At 39.6% G+C, this 25,871-nt stretch overlaps 1 long non-coding RNA gene across 1 annotated transcript in view; it reads left to right on the top strand.

The window, feature by feature from the left end:
• The window catches only part of LOC105377144 (uncharacterized), a 192,342-nt gene that overhangs the window by 46,413 nt on the left and 120,058 nt on the right, over positions 1-25,871 (top strand). The window lies entirely within an intron of this gene.

The raw sequence follows: 25,871 nt of genomic DNA, 5'->3' as shown, positions 1-25,871 counted from the left end.
ATAAACTTACCCCTGCCATTTTGTTATTTGTTTTCTGGTTGTTTTGCGGTCTTCTCTTTCTTCTTTCCTTCTTTCCTCCCTTCCTGTCTTCCTTTTAGTGAAGGCGATTTTCTCTAGTGGTATGCTTTAATTTCTTGCTTTTCATTTTTTGTATATCCATTTTATGTTTTTTGATTTGAGGTTACCATGAGCCAGGCAAATACTATCTTATAACCCATTATTTTAAACTGATTACAACTTAGCACTGATTGCATAAATAAATAAACAGGCAAAAAGAAAACCGTTAGTTTAACTTCATTGTCCCCTGCTTTTTAACATTTTGTTGTTTCTCTATGTCTTATTGTACTGTCTATGCCTTGAAAAATTGCCGTAGTTATTTTTGATTGGTTCACCATTTAATCTTTCTACTTAAGAAAAGTTTACACACCACAATTACAGTGTTATAATATTCTGTTTTTCTGTGTGCTTACTATTACCAATGAGTTTTGTACCTTCAGATGATTTCTCCTTGCTCATTAATGTCCTTTTCTTTCAGATTGAAGAACTCCCTTCAGCATTTCCTGTAGGACAGGTCTGGTGTTGATAAAATCCCTCAGATTTTGTTTCTCTGGAAAGTCTTTATTTCTCCTTCATGCTTAAAGGATACTATCCTAGGGTAAAAGTTTTTTTCCTTCAGCTCTTTAAATATGTCATGCTACTCTCTCCTGGCCTGTGAGGTTTCCCCTGAAAAACCTACTGCCAAATGTATTGGAGCTCCATTATATGTTATTTGTTTCTTTTCTCTTGCTGCATTTAGAATCCTTTAGCCTTAACCTTTGGTAGTTTGATTATTAAATGCCTATAGGTAGTCTTTGGGTTAAATCAGCTTGGTGTTCTATAACCCTCTTGTACTTCAATGTTGATAACTTTCTCTAGGTTTGGGAATTTCTCTGATTTTATCCCTTTGAATCAAGTTTCTATGCCATCTCTTTCTCCACCTCTTCTTTGAGGTCAGTAACTGTTAAATTTGCCCCCTTTTGAGGCTGTTTCCCAGATCTTGTAGGCTTGCTTCATTCTTTTGTATTCTTTTTTCTTTTAACTCTTCTGACTGTGTATTTTCAAGTAGGCTGTCTTCAAGCTCACAAATTCTTTCTTCTGCTTGGTCATTTCTGTTACTAAGAGATTCGGTGCATTCTTCAGCATGACAATTGCATTTTTCAACTCTAGAATTTCTACTTGATTTTTTAAATTACCGTAATCTCTTTGTTAAATTTATCTGATAGCACTCTGAATTCTTTCTCTGTGTTGTCTTTAATTTCTTTGAGTTTTCTCAAAACAGCTGTTTTGAATTTTTTTGTCTGAAGTGTCATGTCCCCGTTTCTCCAGGATTGGTCCCTGGTGCCTTTTATTTGGTGAGGTTGCGTTTTCCTGCATGGTGGTGATGCTTGCAGATGTTCTGTTAGTGTCTGGGCATTGCAGAGTTAGGTATTTGTTGTAGTCTTCACAGTCTGGGCGTGTTTGTGCCTGTCCTTCTTGGGAAGGCTTTTTAGGTATTCAAAGGGACGTGGGCCCTAAGCCCAATAACACTGTGGTTTTTGCAGACTTGAGAGGTATTACTCTGGTGGTCTCAGATTAGATCAAGAAAATCTCTCTGGATTACCAGGCAGAGACTCTTGTTCATTTTCTTTACTTTTTCCCAAACAAACAAATGGAGTCAGTTTCTCTCTGCCTCTCTCTCTCTCTCTCTCTCTCTGTCTCTGTCTCTGTGCTTAGCCATCTGAAACTGGGGGTGTGGTGATGCAAGCACCTCTGTGGTCACCACCACTGGGTGCACTGTGTCAGTGTCAGACCTGAATCCAGCATAGCACTGGGCCTTGCCCAAGATCCTTCCCTTCAGGGTGATGAATTCCCCCAGGCCCTGGGTGTATCCAGAAATGCTGTCTCAGAGCCAGAGATTGGAGTCAAAAACCTTAGCAAGTTACATGCTATTCTGTTGTACTGCAGCTAAGCTGGCACTCAAACCACAACACAAAATGTTTTCACTCTTCCCTCCCCTTTCCACGGGCAGAGGAACCTCTCCCTATGGCCACCACCGCCGCCTGTCCATATGGGCTTCTGCCAGGCCACTGCCAATATTCACTTAGAGCATAAGGATTCTTTCATCAGCTTGCATTGAACGCTGCCAGGCTTGGGACTCGCCCTCCAGGGCAGTGGGCTCCTCTCTGGCCCAGGGCAGGTCTAGAAATGCTGTCTAGAGCCTAGACCTAGCCTCAGGGACCCCAAGAGCCTGCTTGTTGCTCTACCTCACTGTGGCCAAGCTGGTACCTAGGGTACAAGACAAATTTCACCTTCCTTTGCCTCTGCTTTTCTCAAACAGGAGTCTTTCACTGTAGCCACCCCAGCTGGGAATGTGCTGGGTTACCCCTGAAGCCAGCTCATCTCAGAGCCCAAGGACCATTGCGTATTCCCTGGATATCACTGGTGGTTATTCAGGGCCCAAGGGCTCTTTAGTCAGTCGATGATGAATCCTGCTGGGACTGGGTCCTTCCCTCAAGGCAGCAGGTTGGCTCAAGGTGTGTGTCTAGAAGTGTCACCCGGGAGTTAGGGCCTGGAACAGGGACCTCATGACTCTGGCTGGTGCCCTATCCTACCGTGGCTGAACTGGTATCCAAAATCCAAGACAAAGTTCTCTTTACTTTTTTGCTTTCCTTTCCTTAAGGAGAAGGAAGAAGTTTGTTTGTTGTTGTTGTTTGTTTTTTGGTTTTTTTTTTAAAGAGCCAGAGTTTCCCTCTGTCACCCAAGCTGTAGTGCAGTGGTGTGATCTGGGCTCACTGCAACCTCTGCCTACTGGGTTCAAGCTATCCTCTTGGCTCAGCCTCTCAAGTAGCTGGGATTACAAGTGTGTGCCACCACACCTGGCTAATGTTTTTATTTTTAGTAGAGACAGGATTTCACCATGTTGGCCAGGCTGGTCTTGAACTCCTGACCTCAAGTGATCCACCCACCTCAGCCTCCCAAAGTGCTGGGATTACAGGCGTGAGCTACTGCACCCGGCCAGGAAGGAGTCACTTTTGTCAAGCTGTACTGCCTAGTGTTGAGGGAGAGATGGCGCCAGCTGGTATCTCTCTAGTCATGTGTCACCCTAGTTCATTGGAGTTACACCCAGCCAATGAACTCCTACGATTGCAATTCCTAGGCAACTCCTGGATTACCAGGCAGAGACTCTTGTTCCTTTTCTTTACTTTTTCCCAAACAAATAGAGTCTCTCTCTCTCTGTGCTGAGCCACCTGAAACTGAGCAATGGTGATACAAGCACTTCTGTGGCCATCACCACTGGGTGCACTGTGTCAGACCTGAATCCAGCACAGGACTGGGCCTTGCCCAAGATCCTTCCCTTCAGGGTAAGGAGATCCCCCAGGCCCTGGGTGTATCAAGAAATGCTGTCTGGGAGCCAGAGAGCTCCCAGAAGCTGCCTAAGAGTTGCATAGGAATTGCAATCCTTGTGTCCTAGACTGCCTTTCAAATTTACCTAGGACCCCATAGCACTTTTGCCCTCGGTGACAAGGCTTGCCAAGAAACTTAAGTTCCGACCACTGGGATGGGCAATTCCCCTCTGGCTAGGACTGGTCCAAATGTTCCCTTCATGCATAGGTGCTACCTAAGCCCAGCACAGCTTTGTTCTCCGCTGTGACAGAGCAGCACTGAGTTCAATGTAAAGTTCCCCAGCTGCTGCACTCTCCCTCCCCAAAGTGCACTGATTCTCTCTCTGTGCCAGACAGCAGCTGCCTGGGTGTGAGGGTGGGGTGGCATTAGCAATTCAAGACTCTTTCTTCTGCCCTCCTCAATGCTTCTATGATATGAAGTTAAAACCAGGCACTATGATTGCTCACCTGATTTTTGGTTCTTGTGATGTGTGCTTTTCTGTGTGCAAATAGTTGTTAAAATTTGGTGTTCCAGTTGGGGGTTGAATGGTATAGCTTTGTGTCTCCACCCAAATCTCAGGTTGAATTGTAATTCCCAGTGTTGGGGAAAGGACCTGATGGAAGGTGATTGAATAATGAGAGTGGAATTTCTCCTTGCAGTTCTGGTGACAGAGGTCTCATGAGATCTTGTTGTTTGCAAGTGTGTAGCACTTCCCCCTTCACTCTCTCTCTCCTGCTGCCATGTGAATACATGCTTGCTTCCACTTTGCCCTTCTGCCATGATTGTAAGTTTCCTGAGGTCTCCCAACCATGCTTCCTGTACAGCCTGTGGAACTGTGAGTCAGTTAAACTTCTTTTTTTTTTTTTTTTTTCATAAATTACCCAGTTTCAGGTAGTTCTTTATAGCTGTGTGAGAACAGACTAATATAGCTTCTATTCTGCCATATTGTCCCAGCCTTCCCTGAGACTTTTTTTGTGGAAGATTTTTATTAGTAATTCAATCTCTTTACATGTAATTCAGACTTTCTAATTCTTCTTGAATCAATTTCTTTTTTTTTTTTTTTGAGACAGAGTCTCGCTCTGTCGCCCAGGCTGGAGTGCAGTGGCGCCATCTCGGCTCACTGCAAACTCTACCTCCCGGGTTCATGCCATTCTCCTGCCTCAGCCTCCCAAGTAGCTGGGACTACAGGCGCCTGCCACCACGCCCGGCTATTTTTTTGTATTTTTAGTAGAGACGGGGTTTCACCATGTTATCCAGGATGGTCTCGATCTCCTGACCTTGTGATCCTCCCACCTCAGCTTCCCAAAGTGCTGGGATTACAGGCGTGAGCCACCACGCCCGGCCTTCTTGAGTCAATTTCAGTAGTGTGTGTTTCTCTAGGAATCTATCCTTTTTCTCTAAGTTATCTAACGTTTTGATCTACAATTATTTATAGCATTCCTTTATAATTCCTTTTATTTCTTTGACAGTGGTAGTGAAGGCTTCTCACTTATTTCTAATGTAGTAATTTGAGGCCTTTTTTCCCCTCTTGGTCTATCTGGCTATATCCCATAAATTTTGGTATGTTGTCTTTTCATTGTCATTCTTATCAAAGTATTTACTAATTTCCGTTTGATTTATTCTTTGACCCATTGGCTATTTTAGTGTGTTGTTGAAATGATCTGTACAACAAACCCCTGTGAGACAAGTTTATCTATATAACAAACCTGCACAGGTACCCTGAACCTAAAATGAAAGTTTTAAAAAAACAGTGTGGGCTGGGCATGGTGGCTCACGCCTGTAATCCCAGCAGTTTGGGAGGCCTAAGTGAGCAGATCACCTGAGGTCAGGAATTCGAGGATGCCAAAACTCTGTCTCTACTAAAAATGCAAAAATTATCCAGGTGTGGTGATGGGCGCCTGTAATCCTAGCTACTCGGGAGGCTGAGGCAGGAGAATCTCTTGAACCTGGGAGGCAGAGGTTGCAGTGAGCTGAGATTGCGCCATTGCACTCCAGCCTCAGCAACAAGAGCAAAACACCATCTCAAAAAAACCCAAAAAAACAAAAAAAAAGTGTGTTGTTTAATCTTTACATATTTATAAACTCTCAAATTTTCTTCTATTATTGACTCTAATTTTATTTCCTTGTGGTTAGAGAATATACTTTGTATAATTCTAACCCTTTTAAATATATTAAGGTTCGCTTTATGGCCTAACACACAGTTAATTCTGGAAAATGTTTCATATGCACTTGAGAAGAATGTGTGCTCTGCTGTTCTTGGGTGAAGTGTTCTATAGATATCTGTTAGTTCTAGTTTAGCTTAGTTTATAGTGTTGTTCATGTCTTCGATCTACTTTTCAGTCTTCTGCCTAGTTGTTTTATCCATTATCAAAAGTACAATATTGAAGTCTCCAACTATTATTGTTGCATTGTTTATTTCTTCCTTTCTTTCTGTTAGTTTTTGCTTCATGTGTTGTGGCTCTCTGTTGTTAGATGCATATATGTTTAAAAATATTTTCTGTTCTTGATAGATTTACCATTTAATTACTGTAAAATACCCTTCTTTGTCTCTGCTAATGTTTTTGTTATAAAATATTGTTTTCTTAAAATCGTCACTGGTATTTTGTCTGATACTATAGCTACTCCAGGGCTCTTTCTTTTTTTAAGCCACTAGGGTTTTATTTTATTATTTTTTTATTTTTTTAATTATACTTTAAGTTTTACGGTACATGTGCACAACGTGCAGGTTTGTTACATATGTATACATGTGCCATGTTTGTGTGCTGCACCCATTAACTCATCATTTAACATTAGGTGTATCTCCTAATGCTATCCCTCCCCACCCAGTGACCCCACCACAGGCCCCTGTGTGTGATGTTCCCCTTCCTATGTCCACGTGTTCTCATTGTTCAATTTCCACCTGTGAGTGAGAACATGCGGTGTTTGGTTTTTTGTCCTTGCAATAGTTTGCTGAGAATGGTGGTTTCCACCTTCATCCATGTCCCTACAAAGGACATGAACTCATCATTTTTTATGGCTGCATAGTATTCCATGGTGTATATGTGCCACATTTTCTTAATCCAGTCTATCATTGTTGGACATTTGGGTTAGTTCCAAGTCTTTGCTATTGTGAATAGTGCCGCAATAAACATACGTGTGCATGTGTCTTTATAGCAGCACAATTTATAATCCTTTGGGTATATACCCAATAATGGGATGGCTGGGTCAAATGGTATTTCTAGCTCTAGATCCCTGAGGAATCACCACACTGACTTCCACAATGGTTGAACTAGTTTACAGTCCCACCAACAGTGTAAAAGTGTTCCCATTTCTCCACATCCTCTCCAGCACCTGTTGTTTCCTGAGTTTTTAATGATCACCATTCTAACTGGTGTAAGATGGTATCTCATTGTGGTTTTGATTTGCATTTCTCTGATGGCCAGTGATGATGAGCATTTTTTTCATGTGTTTTTTGGCTGCATAAATGTCTTCTTTTGAGAAGTGTCCATTCATATCCTTCGCCCACTTTTTGATGGGGTTGTTTGTTTTTTTCTTGTAAATTTGTTTGAGTTCATTGTAGATTCTGGATATTAGCCCTTTGTCAGATGAGTAGATTGCAAAAATTTTCTTCCATTCTGTAGGTTGCCTTTTCACTCTGATGGTAGTTTCCTTTGATGTGCAGAAGCTCTTTAGTTTAATGAGGTCCCATTTGTCAATTTTGTCTTTTGTTGCCATTGCTTTTGGTGTTTTAGACATGAAGTCCTTGCCCATGCCTATGTCCTGAATGGTAATGCCTAGGTTTTCTTCTAGGGTTTTTATGGTTTTAAGTCTAACATTTAAGTCTTTAATCCATCTTGAATTAATTTTTGTATAAGGTGTAAAGAAGGGATCCAGTTTCAGCTTTCTACATATGGCTAGCCAGTTTTCCCAGCACCATTTATTAAATAGGGAATCCTTTCCCCATTTCTTGTTTTTGTCAGGTTTGTCAAAGATCAGATAGTTGTAGATATGTGGCATTATTTCTGAGGGCTCTGTTCTGTTCCATTGGTCTATCTCTCTGGTATAGACCAATACAACAGTATTGGTACCAGTACCATGCTGTTTTGGTTACTGTAGCCTCGTAGTATAGTTTGAAGTCAGGTAGCGTGATGCCTCCAGCTTTGTTCTTTTGGCTTAGGATTGACTTGGTGATGCGGGCTCTTTTTTGGTTCCATATGAACTTTAAAGTAGTTTTTTCCAATTCTGTGAAGAAAGTCATTGGTAGCTTGATGGGGATGGCATTGAATCTATAAATTACCTTGGGCAGTATGGCCATTTTGACAATATTGATTCTTCCTACACAACAGCATGGAATGTTCTTCCATTTGTTTGTATCCTCTTTTATTTCATTGAGCAGTGGTTTGTAGTTCTCCTTGAAGAGGTCCTTCGCATCCCTTGTAAGTTGGATTCCTAGGTATTTTATTCTCTTTGAAGCAATTGTGAATGGGAGTTCACTCATGATTTGGCTCTCTGTTTGTCTGCTATTGGTGTATAAGAATGATTGTGATTTTTGCACATTGATTTTGTATCCTGAGACTTTGCTGAAGTTGCCTATTACCTTAAGGAGATTTTGGGCTGAGACAATGGGGTTTTCTAGATATACAATCATGTCATCTGCAAATAGGGACAATTTGACTTCTTCTTTTCCTAATTGAATACCCTTTATTTCCTTCTCCTGCCTGATTGCCCTGGCCAGAACTTCCAACACTATGTTGAATAGGAGTGGTGAGAGAGGGCATCCCTGTCTTGTACCAGTTTACAAAGGGAATGCTTCCAGTTTTTGCCCATTCAGTATGATATTGGCTGTGGGTTTGTCATAGATAGCTGTTATTATTTTGAGATATGTCCCAGCAATACCTAATTTATTGAGAGTTTTTAGCATGAAGGTCGTTGAATTTTGTCAAAGGCCTTTTCTGCATCTATTGAGATAATCATGTGGTTTTTGTCGTTGGTTCTGTTTATATGCTGGATTACGTTTATTGATTTGCATATGTTGAACCAGCCTTGCATCCCAGGGATGAAGCCCACTTGCTCATGGTGGACAAGCTTTTTGATGTGCTGCTGGATTCGGTTTGCCAGTATTTTGTTGAGGATTTCTGCATTGATGTTCATCAGGGATATTGGTCTAAAAATCTCTTTTTTTGTTGTGTCTCTGCCAGGCTTTGGTATCAGGATGATACTGGCCTCATAAAATGAGTTAGGGAGGATTCCCTCTTTTTCTATTGATTGGAATAGTTCCAGAAGGAATGGTACCAGCTGTTCCTTGTACCTCTGGTAGAATTCGGCTGTGAATCCATCTGGTCCTGGACTTTTTTTGGTTGGTAAGCTATTAATTATTGCCTCAATTTCAGAGCCTGTTATTGGTCTATTCAGAGATTTAACTTCTTCCTGGTTTAGTCTTGGGAGGGTGTATGTGTCAAAGAATTTATCCATTTCTTCCACATTTTCTCGTTTATTTGCGTAGAGGTGTTTATACTATTCTCTCATGGTAGTTTTTATTTCTGTGGGATCAGTGGTGATATCCCCGTTATCATTTTTTATTGTGTCTATTTGATTCTTCTCTCTTTTCTTCTTTATTAGTCTTGCTAGCGGTCTATCAATTTTGTTTATCTTTTCAAAAAACCAGCTCCTGGATTAATTGATTTTTTGAAGGATATTTTGTGTCTCTATTTCCTTCAGTTCTGCTCTGATCTTAGTTATTTCTTGCCTTCTGCTAGCTTTTGAATGTGTTTGCTCTTGCTTGGTTCCATTCTCCCCATCACTTTCAGGTACACCAATCAGACGTAGATTTGGTCTTTGCACATAGTCCCGTATTTCTTGGAGGCTTTGTTCGTTTCTTTTTATTCTTTTTTCTCTAAACTTCTCTTCTTGCTTCATTTCATTCATTTGATCTTCCATCACTGATACCCTTTCTTCCAGTTGATCAAATCGGCTACTGAGGCTGGTGCATTCATCACATAGTTCTTATGCCTTGTTTTTCAGCTCCATCAGGTCCTTTAAGGACTTCTCTGCATTGGTTATTCTAGTTAGCCATTCATCTAATTTTTTTTCAAGGTTTTTAACTTCTTTGACATGGGTTTGAACTTCCTTCTTTAGCTCGGAGTAGTTTGTCTGAAGCCTTCTTCTCTCGACTCGTCAAAGTCATTCTCCATCCAGCTTTGTTCCATTGCTGGTGAGGAGTTGCATTCCTTTGGAGGAGGAGAGGCGCTCTGCTTTTTAGAGTTTCCAGTTTTTCTGCTCTGTTTTTTCCTCATCTTTGTGGTTTTATCTACCTTTGGTCTTTGATGATGGTGACGTACAGATGGGGTTTTGGTGTGGATGTCCTTTCTGTTTGTTAGTTTTCCTTCTAACAGTCAGGACCCTCAGCTGCAGGTCTGTTGGAGTTTGCTGGAGGTCCACTCCAGACCCTGTTCGCCTGGGTATCAGCAGCTGAGGCTGCAGAACAGCAGATATTGGTGAACAGCAAATGTTGCTGCCTGATCGTTCCTCTGGAAGTTTTGTCTCAGAGGAGTACCCGGCCGTGAGAGGTGTCAATCTGCCCCTACTCGGGGGTGCCTCCCAGTTAGGCTACTTGGAGGTCAGGGACCCATTTGAGGAGGCAGTGTGTCTGTTCTCAGATCTCCAACTGCATGCTGGGAGAACCACTACTCTCTTCAAAGCTGTCGGACAGGGACATTTAAGTCTGCAGAGGTTTCTGCTGCCTTTTGTTTGGCTATGCCCTGCCCCTAGAGGTGGAGTCTACAGAGGCAGGCAGGCCTCCTTGAGCTGCGGTGGGCTCCACTCAGTCCTGCAGCCACTGTCCGACACTCCCCAGTGAGATGAACCCAGTACCTCAGCTGGAAATGCAGAAATCACCCGTCTTCTGTGTCGCTCATGCTGGGAGCTGTAGACTGGAGCTGTTCCTATTCGGCCATCTTGGTTTCACGCCTCCGGGGCTCTTTTCGTTACCCTTTTCTTGGTATCTTTTTGCATCCTTTTGCTTTCAAGCTGAAACATATTTTTAATTCATTCTGCCAGAATCTGCCTTTTGATTGAAGTGTTGAATTTATTTATAATTAGTATAATTACTGATAATTATACTTAGTAATTAGTATAATTACTGATAAGGTAGGACTTTATATCTACCATTTTGCTATTTACTTTCCATATGTCTCCTATTCTTTTTTGCCGTCTATTCCTCCCTTACTGATTTTTTTTATGTTAAGTAGATATTTTCTACTTTACTATTTTAATTCCATTGTTTCTTTTATGTTGTATTTTTTAGTTATTTTCATAGTGGTTGCTCTAAGAATTACAGTTAACATCTTCATGTATAAAAGCTAGTTTGCATAATACTAATTTAATCTCAAAAGTATATAAAATTTTGCTCAAATATAATCCCAATTGCTCTCCTTTCCTTTGTGCTATTATTATAATACAAATGGTACTTTTTATACATTATAAACCATAAACACAGTTTTATAATTGAGATGGAGTCTCACTCTGTTGCCCAGGCTGGAGTGCAGTGCTGCAATTTTGGCTTCCTGCAGCCTCTGCCTCCCAGGTTCAGGTGATTTGCCTGCCTCCACTTCCCAAGCAGCTGGGATTACAGGCACACACCACCATGCCAGGCTAATTTTTGTATTTTAGTAGAGATGGGATTTCACCATGTTGGGTAGGATGATCTGCCCACCTCAGCCTTCCGAAGTGCTGGGGTTACAGGTGTGAGCCACTGCACCTGGCCTTCAGTTATCTTTCAAATCAGGAGATAAAAGTGTCACAAATAAAAAATTTATTCTTACTGTCTTTTATGCTTACCTGTGTAGATACTTTTTCTTGTGTTCTCTATATCTTCATGTGGTTTTAAGTTCCTGTCTGGTATTACATCATTTCAGCCTGCAGTGCTCCCTTTAGTATTTCTTGTAGGAGAGGTCTGCTAGCAAGAAACTCACTTTTTCACAAAATGTAATAGCATTTTAATTTCTTCTTTTTTCTTTTCTTTTCTCTTTCTTTTATTTTTTATTTTTTGATGGAATCTCACTCTGTTGCCTAGGCTGGAGTGCAGTGACGTGATCTCAGCTCACTGCAACCTCTACCTCCTGGGTTCAAGCAATTCTCCTGCCTCAACCTCCCCAGTAGCTGGGATTATAAGCACACACCACCATGCCCAGCTCATTTTTGTATTTTTAGTAGAAACGGGGTTTCACCATGTTGGCCAGGCTGGTCTAGAACTTCGGACCTCAAGTGATCCACCTGCCTCAGCTTCCCAAAGTGCTGGGATTTCAGGCATTAGCCACTATGACTGGCCAATTTCTTTGTTTTTCAAGAATAATTTTGAAAGACATAGAATTCTTGGTTGACAGTGTTTTTTCTTTTTGCACTTTGGGTATGTCATCCTGCTGCCTTCTGACCTCCATAGTTCCTAAGAAAGCAGCTATTAATTTTTTTTTTTCTTTTTTTGAGACGGAGTCTTGCTCTGTCAGCCAGGCTGGAGTGTAGTGGTGCGATCTCAGCTCACTGTAAGCTCCGCCTCCTAGGTTCACACCATTCTCCTGCCTCAGCCTCCCGAGTAGCTGGGACTACAGGTGCCCACCACGAAGCCCGGCTAATTTATTGTATTTTCAGTAGAGACAGGGTTTCACTGTTTTAGCCAGGATGGTCTCGATCTCCTGACCTCGTGATCCGTCTGCCTTGGCCTCCCAAAATGCTGGGATTACAGGTGTGAGCCACCACGCCCAGCCGAAAGTAGCTATTAATCTTATTGAAGATTATTGCACGTGATGAATCACTTCTTTCTTGCAACTTTCAAGATTTTCTTTGGCTTTGACTTTTGACAGTTTGGTTATAATGTGCCAAGTGTATAAGTATAAAAGACAGTTATCATTGGTTATAATGCACCAAGTGCAGATCTGTTTGAGTTTACCCTACAGAGTTTGTTGAGTTTCTAGGATATATAGATTAACATTCTTCATCAAGTATGGAAGTTTTCAGCCATTATTTCTTCAAAAATTTTCTTCTACTTTCTCTTCTCTCTTTTAGGGACTCCCATTGTGCATATATTGATACTATATGGTGGTGTGCTATGGTTCTCTATGGCTTTGTTAGTCTTATTTTATTCTTTTCTGCCTCCCTTTTTTGACTGGATAATCTCAATTGACTTTGACTTATCTCCCAGTTTTTGATTCTTTATTCTGATAGCATGTATCTGCTGTTGAGCTCTTCCAGTGAATTTTTCATTTCCACTAATGTACTTTTCAAATCCAGAATTTCTATTTGTTTTTTGTTTATATTTTCTGATTTCCCTGTTGACAATCTGTTAGACATTATACACGTGTTTTCTTTTCTTTTCTTTTTTTTTTTTTTTGAGACAGAGTCTTGCTGTCTCCCAGGCTGGAGTGCAGTGGCGCGATCTCGGGTCACTGCAAGCTCCACCTCCTGGGTTCACGCCGTTCCCTGCCTCGGCCTCCCGAGTAGCTGGGACTACAGGCACCCACCACCATGCCCGACTAATTTTTTTTTTTTTTTTTAAGTCAAGGCGGGGTTTCACCGTGTTAGCCAGGATGGTCTTGATCTCCTGACCTCGTGATCCACCCGCCTCGGCCTCCCAAAGTGCTGGGATTACAGGCATGAGCCACCACGCCCAGCCTCATATTTTCTTAAAAGTCTTTAGTTGTTGTGTTCTTTAGTTCCTCAGATGAGCTAATTTAGTTTTTGCCTATTAAATCCAATGTATAGGCCCCTTCAGAGACAGTCTTTTTTGACTTATTTTTTTTCTCTGTGTAAAGGTCATATTTTTCTGTTTCTTTATATTTCTCATAATTTTTTCTATAAACTAGGTATTTTAAATAATGTAATATGACAACCCTTATAATCAGATTCACATTTTTAAGGGTTTCTTGTTAGTATTGTTGTTCTTGCTGTTGTTGCCATTTGTTTGTTCAGTGACTTTCCTAAATGACTACTTTACAGTTTGTATTCTTTGTTGCATATGGCTACTGAAGTCTGTTTGGTTAACTTTGTAGTCAGTTAATGATTGGCTAGAGAGTTCCTTAAATGCCTTGAACAATTAAATCTCCCAGCCCTTGCTGATTAGCTTTGTCAACCTATTTGGGCATGCCTTCAATATTCTATGACATTTTACTCCTGCTTTAGCTTTCACTTCCTGCTTGCTTTGGGACTCAGGATCAGCTAGAGGTAAGAGATTAGGGCCTTCTCTGGTCTTTTATGAGCATGCATACAGCCCTGTACATGCATGTGGACTGCTAGATTCCCTGGAGTATATTAAAGCTGTTCAAAACTCCCAGTGGGGTTTCATTCTACTGCTTTTCCTTCTCAGTTTTTTAGTTAGCTTTTTGTTTGCCCCAACTGATATCCTCACTCTGGCAGCTATGATGTTAAACAATTACTACTGATTGTTTTCAGCAAATGCCCTATGGAAAAGGCTGTTTGGACTGAGAAAGCTCTCAGTCAGGTCAAATAAATATAACCTCTGTAAGTGAGGGATTTCCAAAGAGTTGCCAAACAGGTAAAATTGGAAAATCCTCTAGGAATGATGCTTTTGGGGACCTCTAAACTCATTATGTCCCCTCTAGTGGCTGCTACCCTAATTGTGATGTTGTTGGTTCTCAAGGCTGCCGCAAAACTGGGGCAAACGTGATGAGTTATAGAAAGTTAAAATACCACAAAACTCACTGTTCTTACTGAGTGTCGGCCATTCTTCTGCATAAATTCTCCTTGGGTTGTTGCAAAGGAGCAGTAATTAACTTCACTAATTAATTTCCAGAGTTCAGTTTTGAGAAAGTTGATTTTGACAACTTTTTGTCAGTGTTCTCATTGCTTTTGTGGATAAGCAGATTTTCAGAGGCCCTTGCTCTTCACTGATCTGGAAGTTCTTCGCATAGTTATTTTTACACAGAGGACTGAAGTAACTATGTTTGATTATAGTATGTTATGCAGGTGCCCCTAATTTGGTCTCAGTCCAGTTGGCCCAACACATGCATTCACAGCACCAACAAAGGAAGTGATTCATGAGGACCCAGACCCTGATCTGACAGAATAGGATCACTTCTTATTGGATTCAGAAAAGACTCAGTTGTGAGTAGAAAGCTTCATGACTTCCACTGATTTTATAGCAGGGGGGAGTTTCCAAAGGCCTCCTAATACCAGATCTGACTGTCCCCATGTGCAAAGCATTCTTCAACAAACTTAAATACAGATAGCAAGTATTTCAACACCCTAAGTGTTCTATCACTGACACATGATGAGTTTCTGTGCCTGGGTTTCTAATAAGAATTTTTGTTTTAAAAAATAAAAAGAAATTCTTTTTCTCAAGTATCTGGGGCAAAGGTATGAATTATAACTCTTGAAGAATCTGACATTTTTGAAAAGTAAGAATTTTGTCCCCAGAGTTTAAGGACAGTGATTCTGAGGAGCTGTTAATTTAAATTGGAGACATTTGTAAAGAACATAAAGTAAAGATGTGAATACTGAGAATCCTCTTCATGAGTCAACTTTAAAGTTTGTCCAAAAATTAACATATGAGACATTTAGGTTTTCTCTAAGGTAAAAATACATGTCATGCATTCACAAGCAACCACAAGTTTATTAAAGAATAGCCAGCATTCTGTTTTCTAGGGGAAGACAAAGCAAATGGCCAGAATGACTCTTGGGGGAGAAGGGAGTAAGACACAAAGTGGGAGCATTCACAGTGCAAAAAAGAAATAGTAGAATAGATCTATTGGAATGCATGACAAAGACCTGAATAGCCAGAAAGGTCTATAAATTACTATACACAGATCACTGTCACTGAAGAATCCATCGATTGCAAAATGTGAAAATTTCTGAAATAGAAAGCTGAGTAATACATTTCTCAGTTGGGAAAATGGGTGCCAGCTTCTGAAAGAGGAAAACATTTAAGAACAGAGCAGCATCTATGCCTTATTTATTTATTTTTGGTTGTTATAGAAAATAGAAAGGAAGGAATAAGTTGAATTCAGCTGATAGTATTCAGAGCTAAGATAAAGTGGACCATTATAAGAAATGAAGCGGCATCATCAGAGACATGTGGTCCCCAAAGCATGAGGGACTAAGTGGCGAGGACACCTGGTTACGCTTTTCTGGCTTCTGATCCGGGATCTATTACCATACTCTAATTATAGAACTCATTGCCAAAGGTTGAAGAAATACAGCTGTTGGAGTTATTTAGAATAAGAGCATAAGTATTTAAGTACAATGCCATTTACCAAGAAGTATATTGTGTTTCTTAATGCCATGAAACTAAAACACAGCCGCTGAGAAACAGACACATTTTTATAAGTCCAGATGGCTTTTTCCTCTCTTTTCACCCCCCTATTCTCTTCACATTGCTGGGAACCTGTCTTTCTACCGGATTATTTTTCACATATGCTAGATGTTGATTTGTGCATTGTGTTCTCTCCTTTTGTTTTCTACTCCTTTTATCCCTTTAATAATTTTAAATATATTCAATTTACTGTCTCAGTCATAGGTTTATCAGAAGTCCTTATGGTTCTAATCCTACAGTCTTATTTTTGTTGTTTTGTTTATCTGTTTGCTGATTCTTGCTCCAAGGTGGATGTGTGATTGTGTATTTATTTTAAATAGGGCTTGTTTTGTGCATATGCATGTAAATTCCACGTTGCCTGGGTAACTGGAGTGTCCTTCCATGGTGGGTTTTATGTTCCCTTCCCAGGCAATCCAAGTGTACCACTGGGCCATAAGAGTTTCTGTTATTTTCTTATCAGGTGGGAGGAGGGAAAGACAGGGGGTTATGGGTTCTGTTCCACTTGAGTAGTTACAATTTGACTATAAGTCTACAAAGGGTACAAGTTCAAAGCTTTGATTTGTGTTATGAAATGATTTTTTAAATATAATTTTGCATTTTTAGTTATGGATACATAATAGTTGTCCATATTTATGGGGTATATGTGATATTTTGATACAAACATACAGTGTGTAATGATCAAATCAAGGTAAATTGGGATATCCATCACCTCAAGTATTTATTATTTCTTTGTGTTAGGAACATTGCAGTTTCACTCTTTGAGTTATTTTGAAATATACAATAAATTATTGCTAACTACAGTCACTCTATTGTCCTGCCTAACACTAGATCTTATTCCTTCTATCTAACTGTATTTTTGTACCCATTAACCATCCTCTCTGTATCCCCCTCTCCCCACTACCCTCCCAAACCTTTGCCAACTATCACTGTACTTTCTCAGGAAATTTTCATTTAACTGTTTCCCATGCAAAGCCAAGGTACAGAAATTTCACACATTGCTGACAGGATCATAAAATGGTGCCACCACTTTGAAAAAGAGGTTGGCAATACTTAAAAAGTTAAACACAGGGTTTCCTTATGACCCAGCAATTCTGCTCCTAGATGTATACCTGTAGTAAACGAAAACGATCACCTGTAACTGAATGTTTATAGCAGCATTATTTATAATAGCCTGTAAGTGGAAATAACCCCAAATGTCCGTCACCTGGTAAACGGATCAATAAAATGTGGTATATCCAATAAATGGGATATTATTTGACATAAAAGGAATTAAGCATTGATAGATGCTACGGTATGAATGAACCTTGAAAACCTTATGCTAAATGAAAGAAGCCAACCCCAAAGGCCATATTGTATGATTCCACTTATTTGGAATCTTCAGAATAGGCAAGTCTGTACAGACTGAAAATAAACTAGTGGTTGCCATGGGCTAGGGCGAGGACCAAACAGGGAGTGACAACTAAAGGGTACCAAGTTTCTTTGAGGGATGATGAAAACATCCTGGGATTAGAGAGTGGTGATGTTTGCACAGCTCTTTGAATATGCTAAAAACCACTGGGCTGTACATTTGAAAAGAGTGAACCTTTTGGTATGTGAATTATATCTCTATAAACCTCTTTTTTTAAAAAAAAAATCATACTCACTAGACTGTGTTAAAGGTGAGGATAAAAACAGACAACAATCCCACAATTTAAACCCCCCACCCCGGGAACAATTTAATATACTTCCTTCTTGTATTTTATGGTGTGTATATTTTATTATTTATTATCATCATATAAATTTAACTTTGTGTTCTGATTTTTTTTATTTCACGTTAGTCCTAAGCATTTTTTTTCAGTCTGCTTCCTAGTCTTGCTAACTATCTTCAACAATAATCACTTTATTTCCACAAGGGGATGTACCACATTTTATTTAACTGTTCCTCTATTTGTTACTTGATTTCTTTCCATTTCTTTGCTATAATAAAAAACGCAATCATAAGTATCTTTGTGCACATAGTTTTTATCAGTTATTTCCTTAGAGATTTTAAAGAGCAAAATGTTAATGCTGTGTGAACGTTTTTGATCATTTCCTGATGCTTGATTAATATTGCCAAATTTTATTCCAAAGGAGTTTTTCTATTTTATCCTTTAGGATGAAACGCATTCCACTAAGTATTACATAGTTGAGTAACTACATTACCACTAACATAATATGCAGAGGATTTTCTGCAGACCCCATCTGTGAAAATTCACCCCAGACCTTTGAGAAGTTGACCATGTGCCATTGAGTGGGTGAGAGCAGGCATGAAATTGGTTATGAACAGGTGAATTGCATGACTGATTACCCAAGCCTCTCTGTCTCTTCTTTAATTAATCAAAAGCTCTTTATAAGAATCATGTTGCAGAGGAGCCCATCACTTATAGAGCAAGGAAGGCACATTATACCAGGAATTAGGAAAGGATAGAGGATAAGGTTGAGCAAGGAAAACAGATCGGACTGTCATTTCAGGGCAAGATTCTGTTCCCATGGGCATGGAGACTTCACTTCATGGCAATACCCTATACGGCTTCCTGTCTGAGCATTGAAATCATCAGAGTACAAGCTTATTTTCTGAGGCCTACTCTTTATAAAAGTTCTGTAATTGCTGAGGGAACCAGGTTCCTTTGTGCCAAGTCCCTGCAGACTTCCGAAGTCACATTTGGAAAACACCCACCCCTAGCCAAGAGTTCTCAACAAGCTTTCATAAAGGAGAATTTTGTCGTAGATCTAAGTATTCCACCTGACAATACACATCATATGCTGGCCCACAGGCCCCTTTGAGCCTAAAAAAGGAAGAATTTTCTTACTTATTTCAATGCAGAGCTGAGTCTAAGACCCAATTCTACGTGGTCCACCAAAAACAAATGGTGGTGTCAAGTAGAACAACTGGCATCTTTTGCAATATGAGCTCTCCGGGAGAGAAGCTTAAGGCAAATCACCAACTGGCATAGCATTCTAATTTCTGACAGGTGTATTAATCACAATGTTTCATTTACACATGCCCACACCCTCATTTCACTCTTGCATACATAACTGATGCACTTAGTTCATAGTTTATATCGGTAGGTGTAATCTCCAGGGTAGATTCAGTTAGAATTTTGACTGACTGACCTCTAAAGTAGTTACATGCTCATGTGGCTTTCAGATTCATTTTAGGAGGAGTCTACATTTCTGCCATAAATGAGAAGATGGTTGCCTTATACCACTGCTTTCTTTTTTTTAACGTTTCAAAAGTCTGAGCGTTATATTTTTCTTGCCATCACAGCTTTTGGGGAAAGTTCCTATAATTTATCCATAGTATCTTTGAATGTAGGGTATCTTGTTTATAATTTTTAATGTTTTCAGAATCCACTTTGACTCTACATCTTTGAATATATTCATTTGAGAGTCTCCTCCTGCAATCCTGTTCTGCAGCTTTTTTCTTTCATTCAATTCAACTGTTTTTATATCCATCTGCAAACATGGAATAATTTCCAACTACTAATATTGAAATGGCAGATCAGGCCAGGTGCAGTGGCTCACACCTGTAATCCTAACACTTTGGGAGGCTGAAGTGGGCAGATTTCCTTAGCTCAGGAGTTCGGGACCAGCCTGGGCAACTTGGTGAAACTTCATCTCTACTGAAAATACAAAAAATTAGCTAGGCACGGTGGAATGTACCTGTAATCCCAGCTCCTGGGAGGACTGAGGCACGAGAATCTCTTGAACCCAGGAGGCGGAGGTTGCAGTGAGCTAAGATTAATTTATTCAGTAGTGTTTTAAAATTGAGTACCTCCTGTGTTTCCTTCACTCTGCTGAGCCAGTAGTAAACAAAAATAAATTGCCTCGCTATCTTCATGAACTTACAGTCCAGTAGAGGTACCAGAAAAGCAATAAGGACAAGATTTTTTAAAGCAACTACAAAATTGTAACTACTGTAAATGCTCTGAAGGAAAGGTCTTTGGTGCTGGGATGATGTATGAGAGGAGGATATGACCTGGTCAGGGAAACCTTTTCTGAGAAAGTGACACTGCCCTGGGACATGAAGGATAAATAGGGTTACTTATGTGAATGGGGAAGGGGAGATAAGATGTCCCAGGCAGAGGGAACAGCATGTGCAAGCTTTGTCATAGGAGCTGAAAGTCTCCAAGACTCTGGAGAAAGGCCAGTGTGGCTAGGAGAAATACCTAATGTAGAGGACATGTTGATGGGTGCAGCAAACCACCATTCGCCATGGCACGTGTATACCTATATAATAAAGCTGCACATTCTGCACATGTATCCCAGAACTTAAAGTATAATAATTAAAAAAAAAAAGAAAAGCCATTGTGGCTGAGGTATGTGGAAAAAATCAGAAGCGTGGAAGGAGATGAATTGGTGAAGAAAGCAGTGGCCATATTAATATTTGTCTTCATCCTAGGAACAGTTACATTAATATCAATTATCACTGTCTTAGAGCTGCAAATGTTGCTAATATATAACCATTAGAATCATTAAGCTATTGATTTTGCAGTATCCAACAGCAAATTTGAATTTAAAACCATATATGGACTAAAGCAATTACAGGTGTTATACTGACTGCATATGATTTTTCTTGCATTTGCAATTGAAAATATTATTTTTAAGTACCCAGTAAAGTTTTTTGATTCTATATTTCCCCTACCAAATCTTTTATTGTAGTGGTACCTAGCATAGTGCTTCATGCTTAGTTGATGCTCAATAAATGCTTGCAGAATAGTGAGAAAAAGAGTGAGTTTGAGGCTGCAATGTGAAGAAATCATCAAGAGAGCCATGCTACTATGTTCATCTACAAATTCATTTGTGATACAACAAAATATAAAAAGAGTGGAGCTATGAACACTGTTTCAAATTCAAGTGCATTGCTGTCTGAGTCATTTCTACTTCTGCAATTGACTTCTGCATTCTAAAATGACTCCTTCTCTTTTCACATTCATTGCATAGCTGTTATCTGGTTCGGGTGTTGACTGATGTAATCAGAGTAGACAGTACACCCATGTGTTTCAAAGATGTCTCTTGCCATGGGAATGTGAGAGTGTGAAACATCAAACAGCATTGCAATAGATCCCTCACTCCTGGGTTGAAGATAATTGTTTCCCCAGAGTAGTGGGAGGCTTTATAATAACTTGGCTAAAACCTGTGAATCTAGTTAAGCTTATTTCAGTTCTGCAGACCTTCATGGAATGGTTTCTATGTGCAAGACACTCCCTATGTGAGCCGAGAGATACAAAGATGAATGTGCTGTAACTCCAGCCCTTTAGAGGAACTCAGAATTTCATGCACAAACATAACTCTAATTCAAAGCAGATGTGATACTTGCTATAGAAATTAGACACTTGAAGAGCTTTGGTAATGAATGGGAAAGAGCTCTAGTTGTAGATAAAGTTGGTGTCTTAGTCCCAATCTACTTATATTTTAACCAAATTTTTTACTCAACAATACCCATTGAGTCCTAATTTTTGTGTTTAGTAAAAGGATAAGGCATTTCTAGCCCTGGAGGAGCTCACAGCCTTTGATGAAAATATATGAATAGATATATATTTTAGTATGATAAAATGTGGCAACTATTCATATGATATCAGAGTTATGTGTATAATTCTAAGAAAGCACAGAGGGAAAAGCCTGGAGCACAGGGTGGAGCTGAGACCATTTTTTCAGTGGAGCTGGTAGGAGCTGGGTACTAAAGGATGAGTTGGCAAGGGACAGGTCAGTTCAGGGAGGAAGGATACTGAAGGCAGTGGGAAGAAAAACGTGCAAGACTCAAAGAAGTAAAAGCTTGCCATGCCTGGGGAATGACTAGTCATTCTAGACTTAGGAAGTATAGTGTGTGTAAAGGAGATAGAAGGAGGAGATGCTAGACAGTTTGCCGAAAGGAAAATTTTAAACTGCCCTAGGGAGTTTAGACATTATCTTATAGGGAACCTATAAGTCAGAGAATATTGTAGGCAGTGGCATGATCTAATTCATATTTTAGAGGATGCATAGAAGAGAGGAAGCTGAAGGCAGGAGACCGAGCTGGAGACAAATGCACTGACCACATAGGAATACACTGACCACAGGTGAGGGCAGGACTAGAGAAGCAGCATCATTGTTGCTGTCCACCTGTTTCAGTACCCCATGTAGGCATAAAAGGAAACAGTATTTTGCTGTTTCTCTGTTTTTGATTTGGCTATCATAATACATGCAAATAAAATGCAGCATGTATTAGATTCCCCCAGAGCTTTGTTCTGTGTAGTTAAATTAGACTGTTAATTTTCTAAAAGAACCAGAAACAAATTCAGCTAATCATGAACACAAATAAGATTTTCAGCGCCTGTATGCAAAATGAGGATAATAATGAAACCTTCCTCATGGGGCTGGTGTGATGATTAAATGAGATGACATCTGCAGAGCACTTGACGCTGTCCTGGCACGTAGTTGACACACAAAACATGTTAGCCTTTATATGAATGGGTGTCATGAGATCTGATGGTTTTAAAAATGGGAGTTTCTCTGCACAAGACCTCTCTTTGCCTGCTGCCATCCATGTAAGATGTGACTTGCTTCTCCTTGCCTTCTGCCATGATTGTGAGGTCTCCCCAGCCGTGTGGAACTGTAAGTCCAATAAATCTCTTTCTTTTGTAGAAAAAAAAAGTGTTAGCTATTATAATCCATTCACTGGATAGTTAATAAACATCTAGTCTGAACCCTCAGACACTGAAGCACAAAGTCATGAAGAGAACAAAACCCTGCTCTCCTTAGTTTCATAGTCCTTTGGCAGAAAACACTATATAAAGAAATGATTAAAAGAATGGGGCAAGTACAAATAAAGGGTATGAGAAGGATGTTAGAGGTTCTAGAAAAGGATATATTCACCTCTGACTAGAGGGACAAAGTATAGGAGCTTTTGGGCAAAGGACCATTTTGAGCCTAATCACAAAGAATAATTGAGAAGGACATTCCAAGTAGTTGCATAAAGGCTTCCTACTCAAAACCGATTCACCAAACTAGCAACATCAGAATCAGCAGCACTTGGGAATTTGTATTAAATGTGAAATCTCAGGGCCTGCACCAGACCGACAGAATCTGCATTTTAGCAAAATTCCCAGATGACCTGTGTGCATATTAAAGCTGGAGAAGCAGGTACAAAGATGTAGAAGTGGAAATGAACTAAATAAGTACAGAAAGTATGTTTATTTGCTGAATGCAAATGACTCATTTAAAAAAATCAGAACCTAGCAGGTGACAAATTGATGTTTTTCTTTTTAAAAAAAGTTTATTTTAGGTTCAGGGGTACATGTGCAGGTTTGTTATGTAGGTAAACTTGTGTCACGAGAGTTTGTTGTACAAATTATTTCAACACCCAGATACTAAGCCTGGTACCCAATAGTTTTTTCTTCTAATCCTCTCCCTTCTCTCACCCTCTTACCTCAGGTAGGCCCTAGTGTCTGTTGTACCCTCTTGCTGTCCATAGGTTCTCACCATTTAGCTCCCACTTATAAGTGAGAACATGCAGTATTTGGTTTTTTGTTCCTGTGTTAGTTTGCTAAGAATAATGGCCTCTTGCTCCATCCATGTTCCTACAAAGAACATGGTCTCATTCTTTGTGTGGCTGCATAATATTCCATGGTGTATATTTACCATATTTTTTTTTTTTTGGCAGAGTCTCACTCTGTCACCCAGGCTGGAGTGCAGTGGCACAATCTTGGCTCACTGCAATCTCCACGTCTCAAGTTCAAGTGATTATCCTGCCTCAGCCTCCCAAGTAGCTTTGATTACAGGTGTGTGCCACCATGCCCAGCTAATTTTTGTATTTTTAGTTGAAACAGGGTTTCACCATGTTGGCCAGGCTGATCTCAAACTCCTGACCTCAGGTGATGTACCCACCTAGGCCTCCCAAAGTGCTGGGATTACAGGTGTGAGCCACCACACCTGGCCATATTTACCACATTTTCTTTATTCGATCAGTCATTAATGGGCATGTAGGTTGATTCCACGTCTTTGCTATTGTGTATAGTGCTACAATGAACTTACATGTACATCTGTCTTTATGATAGGATGATTTATATTCCTTTGGATATATACCCAGTAATGGGATGGCTACTTTAAGTTGTATTTCTGTTTCTAGCTGTTTGAGGAATCACCACACTGCTTTCCACAATGGTTGAGCTAATTTATACTCCCCATAACAGTGTTTAAGTGTTCTCTTTCCTCCACAACTGTATTAGTCCATTTTCCCCCTGCTAATAAAGGCATACTCAAGACAGGGAGATTTACAAAGGAAAGAAGTTTAATGGAGAACTCACAGTTGCATGTGGCTGGGGAAGCCTCACAATCATGGTGGAAGGCAAGGAGGAGCATGTTACATCTTATGTGAATAGTGGCAGGCAAAGAGAGAGCTTGTGAAGAGAAACTCCCGTATTTAAAACCATCAGATCTCGTGAGACTCATTCACTATCACAAGAACAGCACAGGAAGGACCCACCCCCATAATTTAATTCCCTCCCACTGAGTTTCTCCCACAACATGTGGGAATTGTGGGAGTTACAATTCAAGATGAAATTTGGGTGGGGCCACAGCCAAACCATATAGCAACCTTGCCAGCGTCTGTTATTTTTTGACTTTCCAGTAATAGCTGTTCTGACTGGTGTGAGATAGTATTACATTGTGGTTTTGATTTGCAAGAGAAATTGGAATTTTTCCCTTCCATAATTAAATTATTGAACTTAACACTTAAATGAACTTATATGCCTAAATAACCAGTGGATCAAAGAAGAAATTACAAGGAAATTAGAAAATAATTTGAGATGGATGAAAACGAAACACAGTCTATAAACTGATGGGATGCAGCTAAAGCAGCTATTAGAGGAAAATTTATAGCTATAAATGCCTACATGAAAAGAGAAGAAAGATCTCAAGTCAATAGCCTTACTTTCCACCTTAAGACACTGGGGAAAAAAGAGCCAACTAAACCTAGAGTAGGCAGAAGGAAGGAAATAATAAAGATTAGAGCAGAAATTAATGAACTAGAGAATAGGAAATACAAAAAAAATATATGAAACTAAAAGTTGGTTCTTTTAAAAGATCAACAAAATCAACAAACCTTTAGCTATACTGACCAGAAGAATGAGAAGACTCATTACTAAAATCAGGAATGCTTAACAACATGCAGAGAACATAGTAGACACTCAATAAAAATGAAAAATATATAAGTGGTTGTGTCATGAAAATACATATGATTTTTCTCAAAATATTAGTTTTAAAATAATCAGTAGATGGATATGAAATAATTTGAAGTGAATGAAAGAAAATAAGCTGTGGGACAGAATTGCTGTAAAAGAATTTCCAATGAATATATTCAACAAAGCAATGCATGTACCTAGATCAGTAGGCTTACTATTGTTAAAATGGCAATACTTCCCAAATTGATCTTGGACTCAACAAAATCTTGATCAAAACCCCAGATGGTTTTTTTTTTTTTTACAGAAATTGGCAAACTTATCCAAATATTCATATAGGAATGAAGGAGACCCAGAAGAGCTTCAAAACAATCTTGAAAAAGAAGAACAAAAATTACAGAACTTACATTTTTCAACTTCAAAACTTACTACAAAGCTATAGTAATCAAGACAGTGTGATACTTGCCTGAGGATAGACATAGATCAATAGAATAGAATTGAGAGTTCAGAAATAAACCTTTACATTTATGGTTAATTGATTTTTGACAAAGGAATCAAGACAATTCAATGAGCAAAGAGTGGTCTTTTCAAGAAAGAGTTAAATTGAGCTTGTAGAAGTAGAGAGTAGAATAGTGGTTATTAGAGGCTAAGAAGGTTTAGAGAGGGAGGAGGCTAGGGAGAGGTTGGTTAATGGATATAAAATGATAGCTAGAGAGAAGGAATAAGTTCTAGTGTTCTGTAGCACTGTTAGGTGAATATGGTTAATGACAATTTAGTTTACATTTTCTTTTTTTGTTTGTTCATTTGTGTTTTTTATTTTTTTATTCTTTTTTTATTATACTTTAAGTTCTGGGATACATGTGCAGGATGTTCAGGTTTGTTACATAGCTATACATGTGCCATGGTGATTTCTACACCCATCAACCCATCATCTAGGTTTTAAGCCCTTCATACATTAGGAATTTCTCCTAATGCTATCCCTCCTCTTGCCCCCT

The sequence above is a fragment of the Homo sapiens genome, chromosome 3 (assembly GCF_000001405.40).
Source record: "Homo sapiens chromosome 3, GRCh38.p14 Primary Assembly".
In the NCBI taxonomy this organism is placed as follows: domain Eukaryota; kingdom Metazoa; phylum Chordata; class Mammalia; order Primates; family Hominidae; genus Homo; species Homo sapiens.
This window is presented reverse-complemented; position numbering and strand designations above follow the sequence as displayed.